We start from the raw sequence: 18,900 nt of genomic DNA, 5'->3' as shown, positions 1-18,900 counted from the left end.
AGAACCTCGCTTGAGATATAATTACAGGGAATTACCATCCACAGCCTTCTGGGAAGGATCTTGTCACAGTAGGTAAATAAATTATATCTTGTGGTTCTCCCTTCCCCATGGGCTGATTAACTCTTCTAGAGAATGTTCCCCAGTGATTGAAGTGATGGAACCCTTTTTACCAGCCCATCCTTCCGCCATTTGGGGCTCCCATCTGTCTCCAAAGACTCCCCGGGCTCCCAGCCTAGAAACATATCGCTTCTAGGGCCTGATTCTTCTGAGAATGGGCTCAAACCCCTTGTTAGGAGCCTGAGTAGGCTGCCCACCAGCCTCAGCTGCAGACCCAGGTGAGCAGGTTTCTAAGAGTTAACCGTCCTCTGCAGAATTCCTGGGTAAATACCATCCAGGCTGCCAGATTTATTGCCTTTTAATGCCTCCCTTGTCATTCCATTAGCCTTTCCTTCTGATACCTCTATCGTTTTCATCTGACTTCTCCCCACCCCAAATGTCATAACCGCAGGTTAGGTTTTTTCCATTAGCTCCTGCACTGAGGTCTGGGCAGAAAAAAAATCACTGGGCTCCCCCACCTCAATGAAATATTTTACTTAGATCTTCCTTATCTGTTCCCGAGCATCTTGCTGCTTCCCTCATTTTCTCCCATAATCTACCAATCTCCTCTTCCCGCTTCTGAGAACTTCTCAATAAAGCTGTTGGCTGCTTGTTAAATTGACCTCCAACTCGGTCCACTCATTACCCCTAGAGCCTCCTCTTTGTTTTTATTTAGCCAATGCATGCCTTGAACTACTGTCCCAAACCTGGCTCCCACAAATTCCACAGCTGGCCACACCAGTCCCCTGTTCAAAAACCTTCCAGGATTTGCCATAGCTCAAGAACTGTGTGCTGGCTGGGCACGGTGGCACACGCCTGTAATCACAGCACTTTGGGAGGCTGAGGCGGGCGGATCACTTGAGCCCAGGAGTTTGAGGAGGTCTCACTATGCCTGGGTAACATAGTGAGACTCCCATCCCTACTAAAAATACAAAAAGTTAGCTGGGTGTGATGGTGAGCACCTGTGGTCCCAGCTACCTGGGAGGCTAAGGTGGGAGGATCACTTGAGCCCAGGAGGGAGGCTGTAGTGAGCCGTGATTGTGCCACTGCACTCCAGCCTGGATAACAGAGTGAGAACCTATCTTTAAAAAAATAAATAAAAAAAAAAAAAGAGCAATGAAGAGCAATGTCCTGACTGTTGGGCCCAGCACACCACAAGCCCCTGGCAGTGTTGTCTGATGGCTGAGACACATGATATGGATCCAGGTTGACTGAGTTCAAATCCTGACCCAGTCACTCCATCTATCCATGACCTTGGGTAAGTTACTTGACTTCTCTGTGTTTTAGTTTCCTGATCTGTTAAAAGGGGTGACAACAGTACCAACTTCCTTAGTGATGGAGGTGGGTAAGGCTAGGATGAGACTCCATGGGTGTTAAGTGTTTCACATAGTGCTGGCACAGGGTAAGTGATCAATAAATATTAACCCTTGGCAGGGCACGGTGGCTCACGCCTGTAATTCCAGCACTTGGGGAGGCTGAGGCGGGCAGATCACCTGAGATCAAGAGTTCGAGACCAGCCTGCCCAACATGGCGAAGCCCATCTCTACTAAAAATACAAAAAGTTAGCCAGGCATGCTGGCGGGTGCCTATAATCCCAGCTACTCAGGAGGCCAAGGCAGGAGGCTGAGGCTGTAATCCCAGCTCCTCCTGGGAGGCGGAGGTTGCAGTGAGCCACGTCACTACACTCCAGCCTGGGCAACAAGAGTGAAACTTCATCTCGAATAAATAAATAAATAAATATCAACCCTTATTACTTGCCAACCCAATCACCAGCCAGGCACTCTTATATCTTCAGCTCACCCTGGTTCACTCCACCAAATGATCTGCCATTCTCAGAACACTCTCTGCCCCTATTCATCTCTGTGTGCTGCTACCTCTGTCTTGAACATCTCTTCTCCTCCAACACCACCTGGTGAACTTGGCTCATGTATGTGGTGCATCCCAAAAGTCTCCTCCTCCAGGAAGCATTCCTTGATGCCTCCCTCGAAGTCTCCACAGCACTGAGCAGCAATAGCCACAGTTGTAGCCAGCAGCTGTCCTTGTCACATCCTGAATTCTGAACCTCCAAGGCTCAACCCAAGGATCGTCCATGTTAGAAGTCTTTCCGGGCATCATGCAGCAGACTCTAAAGGCCTGACATGTTCTTTTTTTTTTAATTAATTTTTTTTTGGAGACAGATCATTTTATTTTATTTATTTATTTATTTTTAGCAGAATCTCACTCTGTCGCCCAGGCTGGAGTACAGTGGTGCGATCTTTGCTTACTGCGACCTCTGTCTCCTGGGTTCAAGTGATTCTCGTCCCTTGAGTAGCTGGGATTACAGGCAAGCGCCACAATGTCCGGCTAATTTTGTTTTTTGGTAGAGACAGAGTTTCGCCATGTTGGCCAGGCTGGTCTCGAACTCCTCTTGCCTTGGCCTCCCTAAGTGCTGGGATTACAGGTGTGAGCCACCACATCCAGCCCCTGGCATGTTCTTGATGAGTGAACAAATGGATGAATGAATGAATGATAGATGCAACCAACCCAACTTTATTTTCTTCTCTATCCTATCTTTGTTGATTTGCTGCTGTGTATAGAATTTTCTTTGTTTCATATCTTTATTCTCTCTCTTTTTTTTTTTTTTTTTTTTTTGTGGACACAGGGTCTCGCTCTGACACCCAGGCTGGAGTGCAGTGGCACAATGACAGCTCACTGAAGCCTCAACCTCCTGGGCTCAAGCAAACTTCCCACTTCAGCCTCCCAAGTAGCTGGGACTACAGGCAAGCACAACCATTCCCAGGTAGCTTTTGTATTTTTTGTAGGGAAGGGTTTAACCATTTTGCCTGGGCTGGTCTTGAACTCTTGGGCTCAAGTGGTCCTACTTGGCCTCCCAAAGTGTTAGGATGACAGGCATGAGCCGTGGTACATGGCCTTATTCTCTTTTTCTATACTGATCTTTTGGGCCACATAAACTGTTCATTTCCTTGGTTTTTTTTTTTTTTTTTTGAGACAGAATCTCACTCTGTCACCCAGGCTGGAGTGCAGTGGCACAATCTCGGCTCACTGCAACCTCCACCTCCCAGGCCCAAGCAATTCTCATGCCTCAGCCTCCCAAGTAGCTGGCATTACAGGCATGCATCGCCACGCCTAGCTAAAATTTGTATTTTCAGTAGATACGGGGTTTTTCCATGTTGGGGAGGCTGGTCTGAAACTCCTGACCTCAAGTGATCCACCGATCTCGGCCTCCCAAAGTGCTAGGATCACAGGCATGAGCCACTACACCTGGCCTCATTTTCAGTTTACAATATTTTAACCTGGAGAAATGATGCTCAGCTCCTTCATTCATTGATTCATTTCAGCAAAATGTACTGAGCCCCTACTGCGTGCCTGGGAAGGTACTGTGTTTTGTTCTAGGAATGCAAATGTGACCCAGAGTGAAGCTTCCTAACCTCATAAAGCATTAGGGAAGAAGATAGACAGCAACTGAAGGATCACATAAAGGCACAATTCTGATAAGTGCCATGAAGGAGAGGTATGGGGCTAGAGAGGGTGTGTAATAAATGGTTTACCCCTCACCTGAGGGGTTAGTTAGGAAAGGCTTCTCAAGAGCAATGAACTTTGAGCTGAGACCTGAAGGATGAACAGAAATCTCTCAGTAATAAGAAGGCAGCATTGGCCAGGCGTGGTGGCTCACGCCTGTAATCCCAGCACTTTGGGAGGCCAAGGCAGGTGGATCACGAGGTCAGGAGTTCAAGATCAGCCTGGCCAAGATGGTGAAACCCTGTCTCTACTAAGAATACAAAAAAATTAGCTGGGCATGGTGGCAGGTGCCTGTAATCCCAGCTACTCGGGAGGCTGAGGCAGGAGAATTGCTTGAACCCGGGCAGCAAAAGTTACAGCGAGCCGAGATCATGCCACTGCGCTCCAGCCTGGGTGACAGAGTGAGACTCTGTCTCAAAAAAAAAAAAAAAAGAAGGCAGCATCCTGGGTCGTGTGGCAGAGAAATCATGGCAAGGATGGGTGATGAAAAGAAAATCAGGGCCCGGCATGGTGGCTCATGCCTGTCATCCCAGCACATTTAAGAGGCCAAGGTGGGAGGATCTCTTGAGGCCAGGAATTTGGGACCAGCCTGGGCAACATAGCAAGACCCCATCTCTTTAAAAAATAAAAATAAAAAAAGAAAGAAAGAAAAAAAATAGCCAGACAAGATGGTGTGCACATGTTGTCCCAGCTACTCAGCAGGCTGAGGTGGGAGGATCACTTCGGCCCAGAAGGTTGAGGCTGCAGTGAGCTGTGCTCATGCCACTACACTCCAGCCTGGGCAACAGATTGAGATCCCGTCTCTAAAGAAAAGATAAGAAAAGAAAAGAAAACCAGGGGGTCTTGTATCAGTCAGCTACTGCCACGAAACAAACACCCGCAAAACCTCAGTGACATACCACAAGAAGCACTGGTTTCTTCTGTGTTTGCAAGTTGGCTGATCTGGGTGGGCCTCAGCCAGGCTGCCCTGCTTCAAGCTGCAGGTCTGACAGCTTAGCTCCAGATGCAAGGTGGGCTCCAGTCTGCCCCCAAGTGTGTCCATTCTGGGTGGGCCCCAGGCCAAAGGAACACCAGCTCTCCTCACAGCAGTAACAGAAGCATGAGAGGACAAGTACAAACAAGCAATGCCTCCAAAAGCCTGGGGTCAGAACTGGCCCAGTCATTTCTGCTCACCCTTGATTGGCCAAAGCAGATCACATGACCAAGCTTAAAGTCAAAGATCAGAGGGAAATTGCCTAATCTCAGGCACACGGCATGAATACAAGGATGTGAAGTGTTGTTTTGATTTTTTTTTTTCATTTTTTTTTTTGGAGAGATGAGGTCTCGCTATGTTACCCAGACTGGTCTCGAATTCCTGGTCTCGATCTTCCCGCCTCAGCCTCCCAAACAAAGTGCTGGAATTATAGGCATGAGCCACCACACCAGCCTGGGATGAAGTTTTGGTGTCAGTAATTCAATTTATCACAAGGTAAGAGCAGAAAAAATGACTGAGAACATGAGACTAATGGAGCTGGAGAAGAGAGAGCAGGAGCTAGATCCTGCGGGGCTTTCTAGACCTATTAAATGTTGGTCCTTCCCTTAAGAGCAATGGGAAGCTATTGAAGATATATAATGTGGCGATAAAGAATGATTTGATTTGACTTGCATTCTAAAATGATCCTGTGGGCCAGTCATGGTGACTCAGGCCTGTAATCCCAGCACTTTGGGAGGCTGAGGCAGGTGGATCACTTGAGGCTAGGAGTTCGAGACCAGCCTGGCCAACATGGAGAAACCCCATCTCTACTAAAAATACAAAAAAAAGAAAAAAAATTAGCCGGGCACCTGTAGTCCCAGCTACTTGGGAGGCTGTAGTCCCAGCTACTTGGGAGGCTGAGGCAGGAGAATGGCTGGAACCCAGGAGGCAGAGGTTGCAGTGAGCTGAGATTACGCCACTGCACTCCAGCCTGGGAGACAGAGCAAGACTCTGCTAAAAATAAATAAAATAAAATGATCCTCTGTAAAAAGATGAAAATAAAATAAAATGATCCTCTGGCTGCTGCTATAGGGAACAGATTAGAAAGGGCAAAAATAACAAAAATTCCACATGCCCTATACCTTCCAGTTCTACATGTGTTTGAATGTGTGAGAGTGTATGTTTATGCTTCTACAGGAACACGCCCAGATCTTCCTCAAAGAATGTGGCACCCTAGGATTTCTCTTTTCACACATCTGAAGAGCAGCTAATCTGTATATCACCTGGAACTGTATCAATTCTATTGCTTCATCTTGCAAATTCCCCACAATGCACACCTTCCCAGCACAGCGTGCAGGAAATTTCCCATTTGTTTTATAAATGTCAATTAATTTAACTCCCAAAAGGTGTTTCCCTTATTGTCATAACTACCATAATAGTAACAACCATCTCCAAACATTCTGCAATGTAAAATTTGCCAAGGATTTTATCCAAAGGCCCCAGGAGATAGAGCACGACACTCCAGCCCCATTTGATAGATATCGTAGATTGGAGAGGTTGTCTGGCCGGCTTTGCTCACCATATCTGGGATAGAAGAGTCTGAAGCCAGATATTTTCACTCAAAACCCATAGCTCACTTTTCTGCCAGTTTGCTTGTCTGACTTGATCATGAAATTTCAATCAATAAGCCCGGTTGCTGCTGTTTTTCTAGAACCTTTTGACCAGTGGGAGCCATGACTAACCTGAGAGATAGGTTCAGATATGAGTCTACAACTAACTCCCTCACTTCTCAGTCTCAGGCTCTGAGAACACCACCGACCCTCCTTCACTTGCAAACATTCCTGACAGTCTCTGGCTTCCCTCAGTCAAGGGAAACATCCACCTTAAGAGTAACCAGCCAGAAAAACCTGTTTGCCAGCAAAAGTGCACCATTTTTCACAAAGACACAGAAGGACAGAGGCTGTGTGAGATGAACAGCCACCAGCCTAAGAAGCAAGGAACACAATCTGACCTTTCTTCTACCACCATGAAACCACACCTCGGACTCCAGTTTTGCACCTGACCATCACGGGATAGAAACATTGCAGAGGGAGGGTGGGGATTGTGTATTGAAAAACAAGGCGGCACAGCAGGACTGCAAGTTTGCAAGATTGGAGTGAAAACTCAAGCTGCTTCTCTCTTGTCAGCCTTTTTGAATGAAAGGAGATTTACTGCTAGCATCAGCTGACAGTCTTTTATAGCCATTGCAAATGGATTTGAGCCAGCAGGGTAGCAGATGAACTGACCATGGAGGGACCCTAGAAGGCTCATTTTAAGACATATCCAACATCATGGCTGCAATAAAGTGGCACTCCTTGCCAGAGAAGAAGAAGGATTCAGTTGGAACCTTCGGAGGCCGACACTGTTAAGCATGTGTCCAAATTGCTGAGGGTTTCAGGATGTAAATGTTTTTCAGTATCACTTGCTCAGCCTGGCACTTTCAGTCCATTTAGTAAGATCTGCCTGCAGTGTAGGCAAAAGTCTTGAGATCCAGTTGATGGGGTATGACATTTATTATTGATAAAGGTGGAGGGGAAAAAATGGCTTGTGTCTGGGTAACACCTGGACATTGTTGCCATTTATCTAGCAGATAGTTGTGATTTATCCATAGCTGCTATGTACGCCCCTTTCCTGGTGGACCGCTCATTTTGTCTTAGGCTGTTTTTGTTTTTTACAGGGTCTCACTCTGTCACCTAGGCTGGAATACAGTGGAGCGTTCATGGCTCACTGCAGCCTGGACCTCCTGGGCTCAAGCAATCCTCCTACCTCAGCCTCCCAAGTAGCTGGGACTATAGTTGCATGCCACCATGCCTGGTTAATTTTTTAATTTTTTTGTAGAGACAAGGCCATGCCATGTTGCCCAGGCTGGTCTCGAACTCCTAGTCTCAAGCAAGCCTCTCAACTCAGCCTCCCAAAGTGCTGGGAATGCAAGTGTAAGCCACCACACTGGCTTTTTTTTTTTTTTTGGAATAAAGGTGATTCTTCAAGTACAGAATTAAATGTGAACTATTAATATTAAAAGATATCCCAAGTAAATAAATTCAGAATTTAAAAAATCCTTTTTTAAAAAGAATACGTTCTCTGGCATAAAAATATATTTCTTTCTTATTTATTTTTTAAATTTTTTTGTAAAGACAGGGTCTTGCTATGTTGCCCAGCTTAGTCTTGAACTCCTGGGCTCAAGTGATCCTCCCTCCTTGGCCTCCCAGAGTGCTGGGATTACAGGTGTGAGCCACTGCACTTGGACAAAAAATACACATCTCAAAAAATAAAAGAAAGTGGTGCATTTCCTCTGGTTGCTCCCCATCTCCTAAGGGTTTTCCCCCCCACATTCCCCTGGAGGCCTGGACAAAGGCAAGCTGAGTTGATCCCAGTGGAATTGGGGAAGGGGGAGATTTGCCTCTCAGGGAACCCAAGACTGAGCAGCCGCACCAGCTTCCTGCATGGTGTGTGCGTGTTTCTTTTCTCTCCCCTCTATAAACCAGTGATTAATGCTTTGCAAAGAGGCACAGACACACCTCCCCCGTAGCAAGAAAGCCCCTGCCAGATTCCCCAGACTTAATTCTGCTGTTAACACCCCTCAGGCGGAGGGGAGAAAAGTAAATCCCCTCCTTCACCAAGCCAGCCTGCGGGCAATGTGGTTTGTTTAAAGTCTCTTGGGTGAGCCACTGACCTGCCTCCCGTGAGCTCTGAGGGAGCTAGCACTTAAAAAAGAAAAATGAAAAAAATATTACCCCCTTCCCTGAAGCAGTTTCCGGTTTGTATATATCATTGCCCAGGATCCCCCTAAATTGATGAAGGCTTTGGCAGGAGAGCCTTCCTTTACCTCTTCCAGAATCAGTGAATAGTCGGAAGATCAGAGAGATGAACACTTTCCACGGAGTTTCGTGGGCTCCGTTTTCCTTTGGTTTGTAAGCAGAGTTCTGACTGGTCTCGAGATTTAGAAAATGCCTGATGAGGTTGTTCCCTCCACCCCCAGATTGCTCATGAATAGACCACGGGGTGCAAGAACAACTCCTATGCACATTTATTTTTAAATATTATCCTTTGGAATTTCCGTCTCAGTGAAGTTTAATTCATATGTCAACTTCACAGAAGACATATATAACTTAGAAATGCAGATATATACAGATAGTGAATAGCATCTACTCAAACCTTAGTTATGAATTATGTGATGTCCTTTTAAGAAATCTGGGGCTGGGGTGAGTCTCAATCTGCCGCCCAGGCTGGAGTGCAGTGGCATGACCTTGGCTCACTGCAACCTCCACTTTCCTGCTTCAAGCAATGATGTGTTTTGTTTAAATTCTCTTGGCTGAGCCACTGAACTGCCTCCCGAGTAGTTGGGATTACAGGCGTATGCCACCACCCCTGGCTACTTTTTGCATATTTTTAGCAGAGATGGGGTTTCGCCATGTTGCCCAGGGTGGTCTTGAGCTCCTGGGCTCAAGCGATCTGCTCGCCTTGGTCTCCCAAAGTTCTGAGATTACAGGCGTGAGCCACCACACCTGGCTGATTTTTTAAAAAGAAAGAAAATAATGGGTACAATCAGGGATGGTGGAGGATTACATGGAGAGTTCATAAGATGATGTAATCATTGTCTTTTGAGGCGTGTTCAATAACACTATTGTGGTCGTGTTGTTTACAAACAAACAAAAAAAAAATCGTACTCAGGCTGGGCACTGGTGGCTTACGCCTGTAATCCCAGCACTTTGGGAGGCTGAGGCAGGTGGATCACCTGAGGTCAGAAGTTCGAGACCAGGCTGGCCAAGGTGAAACCCCATCCCTACTAAAAATACAAAAATTAGCCCGGGCACAGTGGCTCACGCCTGTAGTAATCCCAGCACTCTGGGAGGCCAAGGTGGGTAGATTACAAGGTCAAGAGATCAAGCCCTTCCTGGCTAACACTGTGAAACCCTGTCTCTACTAAAAATACAAAAAAATTAGCTGGGTGTGGTGGTGTACACCTGCAGTCACAGCTACTCGGGAGGCTGACGCAGTAGAATCACTTGAACCTGGGAGGTGGAGGTTGCAGTGAGCCAAGATCATGGCACTGCACTCCAGCCTGGCAACAGAACGAGACAAAAGAAAGAAAGAGAGAGAGAGAGAGAGAAAGGAAGGAAGGAATGAAGAAAGAAAGGAAGAAAGGAAGGAAGAAAGGAAGAAAGGAAGGAAGAAAGGAAGAACGGAAGATAGATTCGATTAGCCCCATTTTATTTTACCTTTTTTTTTTTCTTTTTTTGGAGACAGGATCTTATTCTGTTTCCCAGGCTGGACTACAGTAGCAGCATCATAGCTCACTACAGCCTCAACCACCTGGGCTCAAGTGATCCTCCTGCCTCAGTTTCCCGAGTAGCTGAGACTACAGGTGCACGTCACCACACCCAACTAATTTTGTTTTTGTTTTCAAAGATGAGGTCCCACTATGTTGCCCAGGCTGGTCTTAAACTCCTGTGGTTAGCCCTATTTTATAGATAAGCAAACTGAGATCTGGAAGGCCAAAGTCACTTGCCATGTGGTACCAAGACAAGAAAAGGCAGAGTGGGGCAACCTCTGAGCTAAGACCCTTAGCCATTATGATTTTTTTTTTCTTTGTGACCTTAGACAATTACTTTTCCTGTCTGATCCTCAGTTTCTCTAGGTGTAAGGCCTAGCTAAAAGGATTATTTTCCTCTTAGCTCTTCTTCTTCTCCATTACCTTTCTTTTTTTTTTTTCTTTTTTTTCTTTTTTTTTTTTTTTTTTTTTTGCTCTCCATTATCTTTCCTTTTTTTACTTTTCCCAGGAACATGTCAGAGGCAGCCTGGTGTGGAAGAAAGAGAAGTTGAGTCCCAAGTTCTAATTCTAGTTCTGCCTCCTGCTATTTGAGTGACTTCAAGCAAGTTACCTAACCTTTCTAAGCCTCAATTTCCCCAATGGTAGAATGGGAAAGAAAATAATGAGTAGGCCAGGCACGATGGCTCATACCTGTAATCCCAGCACTTTGGGAGGCCCAGGCAGGTGGATCACTTGAGCCCAGAAGTTCAAGACCAGCCTGGGCAACATGGCGAAAACCCATCTCTACAAAAATACAAAACATTAGTTGGGTGTGGTGGCGCACACCTGTAATCCCAGCTACTCAGGAGGCTGAGGCATGAGAATCACTTTAACCTGGGAGGCAGAGGTTGTGGTGAGCCGAGATCGTGCCACTGCACTCCAGCCTGGGCAACAGAGCGAGACTCGGTCTCCAAAAAAAAAAAAAAAAGGCTAGAAAGAGCCTAATTCAGAGTCCAATATAGAGGAAATGTTCAAGTAAAGGTGAGTCTCTTGTATCTTTCCCCTCTCATGCTCCCCCTACAACCCCCAATGTTCCTCACCTCCCTCAGCTCTTGGCCAAAAGGTCACCTTCTCAGTAAGACTGTCTCTGACAACCCTTTAAAATTAAGCCCTGCCATCCCTATGCCTGAACTGCCCGAACTGCTTTATTTTTTCAATGTTACTTTTCACAATCAAACATGTATTTTATCTGTTTTTGTTTATGATCATTCTCTCCCCAACTATAATGTCTTTGGGGACAATAATTTTTTGTTTGGTTTGGTTTCTTTTTGTTTTGTTTTGTTTTGTTTTTTTGAGTCAGGGTCTCACACTGTCACCCACGTTGGAGTGCAGTGGCACGATCTCAGCTCACTACAACCTCCACCTCCCAGGCTCAAGCAATCCTTCCACCACAGCCTGCAGAGTAGCTGGGACCATAGGCGTGTGCCACCATGCCCGGCTAATTTTTTGTCTTTTTGGTAGAGACAGGGTTTTGCTATCTTGCCCAGGCTGGTTTCGAACTCCTGAGCTCCAAGTGATCCACCCGCCTTAGCCTCCCAAAGTGCTGGGATTACAGGCTGAGTCACCACGCTCAGCCAGCCTAATAGTTTTTAATGTGCTTAATTCACTGCTACATCCTGAGCCCCAGACACATAGTAGGCCCTTGGTAAACATTTGCAGAATGGATGAATGAGTTAATGAATGAATGAATGAGTATCAGACCTAGTATTGGTACCTTTAGATGAAGCAAGCAAAGAGCATGGCATGGATCTTGCGTAGTGTAGCTGATTCACAAATGCTTTTGTTCTCATTTTGCTGGGACCCCAGAATCCACTGAGATCATCCTGTTCAACTCTAAGCCACGTTTGATTTACTCATGGGTGTTCTGGGTTTCCAGCTTTCTTATTTCTGTCTGTCACTTAAATCAGCCTCCAAATGCCTGTCCCAGCGGCTCAGAGTTCTTGAAGCTGTATTTCACCAAGAAAAGTGAGTGCTGCTGTCCTGGGGCCATTTGCAATTTCCCTTCCATGAGCAGAGGTGTTTCACTAAGTGCTCTGTTTAAAGGCAAAAAATGCTTCAGTTCCTGACTTATCTTTGTGAAGGGATTACTTGGTGCTAAGGTAGGACTTGTCTACAGATCCTTTGGGGCAAAAAAGCTGCAAAGGTGTTTACAGCGTGATGTTGGGGGAAAAGGGGAGGGAGGGATTCTTTTTCTGGGTGGAAAACTGAAGTTTCAGAGGGACCAGAGCTGCCCAGAACTTCACCCCAGAGGTAGAGTGTGCGTGTATTAGAATAGAGGTATTGATAGACACTTTTAGGAGAAACTTCCCTCCCCAAGCCCTGTCTCTGAGCCAAAATCAGCCTAAGCCAGACCTTGCTCTTTCCTGGCCCTCTGGGAAATATTCCTTGAAAAGCTGTTCACAGAATGGATTTTCTATTCCACAAAACCTGTCTCTTTGCCTTGGCTCGCAGTACAAGCACATTGCCCCAGCTTTCAAAACTGTGCCGATTTCTCATGAGAATCCTCCTCTGTCCCTATAGGGACCAAGAGACCAATTAGTTACTTAATAAGTCAGGGGTTCATACCCTGTTATCTTCCAATAGACTTTTATGGGGGTGTGGGAGACCATGGACAGAATTCATGGATCTGTGAACTTGGATGGAAAAAAAAAATCACACTTTCATTATCACTAAACTCGCAGTGAAATTAGTATTTCCTTCTATTATGAATATAGACAACAAACCACAGGGGGATTAGCAGTGGCTGTGACTGGGTCACCAATAGAAATCTCAGGTGTTAGGCCAGGTGCAGTGGCTCACGCCTGTAATCTCAGTACTTTGGGAGGCTGAGGCAGGCGGATCACCTGAGGTTGGGAGTTCAAGACCAGCCTGGCCAACATGGCGGAACTCCGTCTCTACTAAATATACAAAAATTAGCTGGGTGTGGTGACGCATGCCTGTAGTCCCAGCTACTCAGGAGGTTGAGGCAAGAGAATTGCCTGAACCCAGGGGGCAGAGGTTGTAGTAAGTCGAGATTGCACCACTACACTCCAGTCTGGGCAATAGAGCAAGACTCCATCTCAAAAAAAAAAAAAAAAAAAGAAATCTCAGGTGTTTGTATATAACATTACAGGTGTGACTGGGATCCTGAAATGTTGTTCTGCTCATCCCAACTTCAAAAGTACACTATTAGGGCATTGTGCCACGGCTCACGCCTGTAATCCCAGCACTTTGGGAGGCTGGGGCAGGAGGATCGCCTGAGCTCAGGAGCCTGAGACCACCCTGGGCAACATAGAGAGACCCTCATCTCAAAAAATAGTAATAAGGCCAGGTACGGTGGCTGACGCATGTAATCCCAGCACTTTGGGAGGCTGGGGCAGGAGGATCGCTTGAGCTCAGGAGCCTGAGACCACCCTGGGCAACATAGAGAGACCCCCATCTCAAAAAATAGTAATAAGGCCAGGCACGGTGGCTGACGCCTGTAATCCCAGCACTTTGGGAGGCTGGGGCAGGAGGATCGCTTGAGCTCAGGAGCTTGAGACCACCCTGGGCAACATAGTGAGACCCCCATCTCAAAAAATAGTAATAAGGCCAGGCACGGTGGCTGACGCCTGTAATCTCAGCACTTTGAGAGGCTGAGGCAGGCAGATTGTCCGAGGTTAGGAGTTTTAGACCAACCTGGCCAATATAGCGAAACCCCGTCTCTAGTAATAATACAAAAATTAGCTGGGCGTGGTGGTGCATGCTTGTAATCCCAGCTACTTGGGAGGCTGAGGCAGAGAGAATTGCTTGAAGCCGGGAGGTGGAGGTTGCAGTGAGCAGAGATCGCGCCACTGCACTCCAGCCTGGGCAACAGAGCGAGACTCTGTCTGAAAATAGTAATAATAAAATAAAATGTCAATGTAGTATATATTACAGTTCCTGCCCCCACCCTTGCCCCGTTCTACCAGTAAGGCAATGGGGACCCAGATACTTTCCCAGTGCCTGTTAATTCCCAGGGAAAGTGCCAGGCCTTTCCTTGTGGCTTCTCTGGTAGCTGGTGGCCTGCAATCTGCCCCCTCCCAGTCCTCCTAAACCTCTGTAGGGCCTGGGCTAGAAAGTCAGGGACTCCAAGTTCCTGGCGTGGGTGTCAAACATCCCTTCTGAGTGCCCTGGCTCCAGGGTCCCCCGTCCTGAAGGGCCCAGCTGAGTGCGGCTTTCATCAGCCTCTGAGAGGTGGCAACAAGTTTCAGGGCAGGGTGCCTGCTGCCCACTGCCCCCACTTTTGCAGACCAGGCAGAGTGCTGGGAGGACTGGAAGCAAGATTCCAGAGGCATCTGGAAGTTATCAGTAACTCAACTGTCTGGCCAGTGGGGTGGGTTGAGGCCAGTGGCAGAGGGCAGAAACTGGCTGGAGGGTAGAGCGAGGAATCCCACACAGATTCCTGGGGCCAGACCCAGCTCCTGGGGGGAAGGGGTGGTGATGAGCTGGCTGGAAACCCTGCACCCTGCCCAGCCCTCCTTGGGCAGCAGCACCAAAGACAGCTGAAAGTCAATGATGATATTTGTCTGAGAAGAAACAGAGAGGGAGGAGCAGGTGGGCAGAGAGGGAGAGAAGCAGGCAGCCTGCTCCACTGGGCAGCACTTGAAGACCACGGCAGGGAAGGCGGGGCTGGGCAAAGCTCACCCTCTGGTCCACTTGAAGATTCCTGCTTCAAAACTAACCCTGATGGCTTCCAGACAAGTCGGCACCAAGGGTCATTTCTGGAGGCTGTAAGTGTTGTCGATAGCAGCTGTAGGGACAGGTGTAAATCAGCCTGTGCATTCCTCCCCTCGACCCCTCCCAGCTTTCTGCACCTGAAGCAGGTTCCATTTATTACTGCAAGCCAGCTCGGGAGGTCTAAACACACACACACACACACACACACACACACACACACAGGCACACACGGATATGCAGGCATGTGCCCTGTAGGCACATTTTTCTTTTCTTTTTTTTTTTTTTTTTTTTAGTGCTCCTTTAAAGCAAATTCTATCAGCTGTTTGTTAAAGCAAAGCAAACAAGGCTTCCCAACAAAAAAAAAAAAAAAAAAAGAAAAGAAAGAAAAGGAAAAAAATCCTTGATTAGCTACCTTTTAAAATGCCTTTCCTGGCAGACTGGGAGGCAAATAAGGGAGGAGGTAGAGTGAGGGAAGTTGAGCTGCGGTTTATTTGAACTAGTTGGAGTGATGAGTTGGGAGCCTGCAGGGGGCAGGGGAGGGGGTGCAAACGCGGACTTCACCTTCACCAGACTACTCTCAAACCTTCCTTCTCATCATCCACCAGCCTCCTGTGGTTCAACAAAGTTCTGTTTTCCCAAGAGGCTGGGAGGGAGGCTGCCCTTCATCGTCCCCTCCCTCTCCGTTGCAAGCAGGAATGTCTAGGAAATTGTGCAGCCCCTCTTTATTGGGCCAAATGCACTCTGGGAATAAGGAGGACTCTGGGGAAATTCCATTTTCTCTTCTTGGCCAAGTAGTCCCTACCAACAAGAACTTCTTAGTGAGTTTGTGTAGCGTGCTGTTGGAGTGGGGAAGAGGCTTTTCTGTGAAGCCAATGACAGAGAGAAACACAATGCCTTTTTTCCCCAAGATCCCAGCCACACACTCTCCCCCACCCTCTACCACAAAGGCCCTGCTGGGGGCCCCTGGAAACCCCTAATGAATGAGAACCTCTCTCCTAAGTTGTTAGTATTTGATGCTTTATACGGTTTTGAAAACCATATTCCCCAAGGGCTGGAGGCTATTCGGGAATTGGTCGGTTTGAGAAGCTCAATCGTGATTTAATGGAGGCATTTATACCGTGCTAGATAATCTCATACGTATGTCAAGTAATACATCGGGAGGGTGGCCCGGCTCTCTGGCTCTCCATTTCCCCACCATCTTTCTTATGTTTCCTTTTGGCCACTCCTTTCCCATCCGCTTTCCTTAGTCCCCACTTTCCCCACTTTCTCTGCCTCCAGGTGCTTCTCCCTTTCTTTGTCTCACCTCTTCTCTCTCTCTCCCCCCTCTTTCTCCTCCCCCCCCCCACCTCGCCCCTGCACTTGCTTCTTGCTCTCTGTGTTTCTTAATCTTTGTCCTTTCACCCCATCCCCAGTCTGCCTGATCCATCTCTCTCTGTCATTGTCTCTTCGTCTCTAACCTTTATCTCTTCTCCTCTTCTCCTCTCCATGCCTCTCCCACTCTGTGGGTATATAAGGGTCTCTTTTTATCTTCCATGCCTGTCTGTCTTCCTCCCTTGTTTGTCCTTCTTCCCTCATCCCCAAATACCCTCTCTCACTTTCTGTCACCCTCCCTCCCCAACTCCACTGTCCTCATTCTTTTCCACCTTTCTCATCTCCTTCCGCTCATCTCCTCACCCTCCCGCCAGACGCTCAAGCTGGGGGGTTGGGAACAGCCCCAGCTCTTGCCTCGGTGGATCTGCAATGCCCCCAGAGAACTGGGAAGGGGGACAGTGGGCTTCTGCTGCTGGCTTGGAGTTTTGCAATTGTAGCCTGGCCCTGGGAGTCGGGACCTCAGCCCCACATAGCTTCTGTTGAGAGACAGGAGGACTCTGGGCCTCCCCAGGAGTCAGAAATTCTCTCTGGTCCTGTTTACATGCAGCCCCCTCCTCATTTTCAGAGATCATTGCTGCAGGGGCTCCACCCATGGATGCTCCAAGCACCCACTAATGTTCCTTTATTCTCTACAAGTTCTTATTTCTCAATAGGTCTGAGAACTTTTTCTCCTGACCTCAGGAGATGGAGAAGACCTGGACAGAGTGGAGATGGTGGAAAAGGCAGGGGATTAGATTCAAAATTAGGACACCAGGGTCTCTGAGCCTAGCTGGGGACTCTAACTCCAGTGCAAGGAGAGGAAGGGAGCACTTTGTCTCTGGGATCCGTCACAGTTTTGAGATCCCAGGATTCAGGAAAGGGGCTCACAGGAGCTAACTCTTCAGTGGGAAGCTTAATGGAGGATCTCACTTTAGTATCAACTTGGGGAGAAGACAAGTAGTGGGGTTTCAGGCTGAGATGGGAACAGCACTGGGCAAGAGAGAGTAAGAATAATAATAGAGAGAAGGCATAATATATGTCAGGTAGTCTTCTAAGAGTGTAGTCTGTGTGTGTGTGTGTGTGTGTGTGTGTGTGTGTATTATATATATAAACTCTGTGCTTCAGTATATATTTTATATATCATTATGTATATATCAATATATGTGTATATTTACTATTGTATATATAGATTTATATATTTACACACACACATACATATACACACGGAAGCACAGAGTTTAGCAAGTCCAAACAGCTAATGATTCATGAGCACTCACTGTGTGCCAGGGGCTGGGCTGAGCGATGCATATGCATGATTTCACTTACTCCTTGCAATGCTCCTCTGTGGGAGAGCCTGAGAGTCTCATTTTTTTCAGAGGCGGCAAGGGAGGCTTACAGAGGTAAATGGAGGGATACAGTTCCAAGCCTCCAATATGCCATCTCCTAAATTCCAAATGCTCAGCAGGAGGTCGGCTAACACTTCGTTGAAAGCCACTGACCCGGTCTACAAATGTCAGCAGCTATCACAGTGGACCAAGCAGGCCCACAAGGGACCACCTCTGCACACACCTGAGTGTGCACCTGCTGGCTGGAACCTGGCTTGTCCTCGCCTACACACGCAGCCTGGCACACCTGCATGGCAGAGTCCCACCAAGCTGTAGGTCCCACTTAGGGGAGACTGGGACCATGGAAGTTGGTGTGCTCCATTCCTAGTGTGGAAAACAAGATATCCCCAGTGTTTCATCTCCTCCTCTGCGCATGAAGGTGGGTAAACATCCGCGGAGTGGGACGAGCTGGAAAGCGGGTGGCTCTTGGCGTCAGGCAGGAGTTCTTCCAGTGTTGACCCCCCAACCCCCGTCCATGTACAAGAACTGCAGTCTTGCCACCAACCAACCCATTCGCCAACCCTCCCTCGCAGGCATTTCGCCCGTCCCTTCTCTGATCTACAAGGAGCAGGGAAACCGAGGCCCAAAGTAGTTGACTGTAAGCGCGCGAGGGAAGCTCGCCAGGCTCTTGTGTGCGCACCAGGCTGGGATGTGGCGAGCGGAAACCACAGTCCCGGGTCTCCTGGGGCGGCGGAAAGCAAAGCCAAGCGCGGCGCAGGCACCTCCGGGCCCTGAAAGAAACCAAAGTTGGTCAAGCGGGCAAAGGAAAAAGAAAATAAAAACACGGGTTGGGGCCTTTGGAAAGCAGGGCATTCTCCGAATCATCCGCTGGAGTCGCTACTTGAACCTCAAGGATGTGGCGTGGGATGGGGCAGTGGGTCTACAGAGCAGGGGATGGTGCGGAGACAGATTAGGTTTGCTTCTGCAGCTCGGATCTTGTTGCGGGTAGATAGATGTCTATGCAGATCCAAGCCGCTAGGCGTGGGGCAGCGGCGCGGATAACTGGAAGAAAAAGGGAGATTCTGACCTCAATTTTCAATTCCGAATTCCACGTGCATTCGAGGAAAAAGAGACGGAAAGACTGGGGCGGAGGGAGGGAGAAAGAGACAAAAGCAGAGACTGAGATAGAGACAGACGCCAGAGAAATACTAGGAGGATCGAGATTCGCGCCTTAGCGCCAAGCTGAAAGGAGCGAGGCGATTCCAGCGACCCTCGTCCTGTCTATAAACATTTGGTACCAGGCCAGGCCAGGCGGACATGTGATTCCCTGAGGCCCTCTCGGTGCCAAGCGGCGGGCAACAGGAACCCAATGTCCACCTAGAGGGGGGAACCCTCGGCCTTGCCTCTCCTTTGCTGTGTGACTCCAGGAAAGTGTCTCTACTTCTCTGAGCAACGAGTTCTGTCCGTTTAGTTCTGGTAGGGCAACCAGCACGTGGAGCAAAAAGGCCTTGAAATATGGTCGGGCGCTGTGGCTTATGCCTGTAATCCCAGCACTTTGGGAGGCCGAGGCGGGCGGATCACCTGAGGTCAGGAGTTCGAGACCAGCCTGGCTAACATGGTGAAACCCTGTC

At 48.0% G+C, this 18,900-nt stretch overlaps 1 long non-coding RNA gene across 1 annotated transcript in view, besides 1 other annotated feature; it reads right to left on the bottom strand.

Annotated features, from left to right (window-relative positions):
• Positions 1–18,900, bottom strand: part of TBX3-AS1 (TBX3 antisense RNA 1) — an 85,697-nt gene that overhangs the window by 49,475 nt on the left and 17,322 nt on the right. The window lies entirely within an intron of this gene.
• Positions 17,370–18,179: an enhancer, noted in NCBI's record as "H3K4me1 hESC enhancer chr12:115138140-115138949 (GRCh37/hg19 assembly coordinates)". NCBI's record gives its function as "activates a minimal SCP1, AML or CMV promoter by ChIP-STARR-seq in primed H9 embryonic stem cells {active_cell/tissue: H9 hESC(primed)}" and the evidence as "EXISTENCE:reporter gene assay evidence [ECO:0000049][PMID:30033119]".

Source organism: Homo sapiens, chromosome 12 (assembly GCF_000001405.40).
Source record: "Homo sapiens chromosome 12, GRCh38.p14 Primary Assembly".
Taxonomy (NCBI): domain Eukaryota; kingdom Metazoa; phylum Chordata; class Mammalia; order Primates; family Hominidae; genus Homo; species Homo sapiens.
Note: the sequence above shows the minus strand (reverse complement) of the source record. Positions and strands in the feature narration are given on the sequence as shown.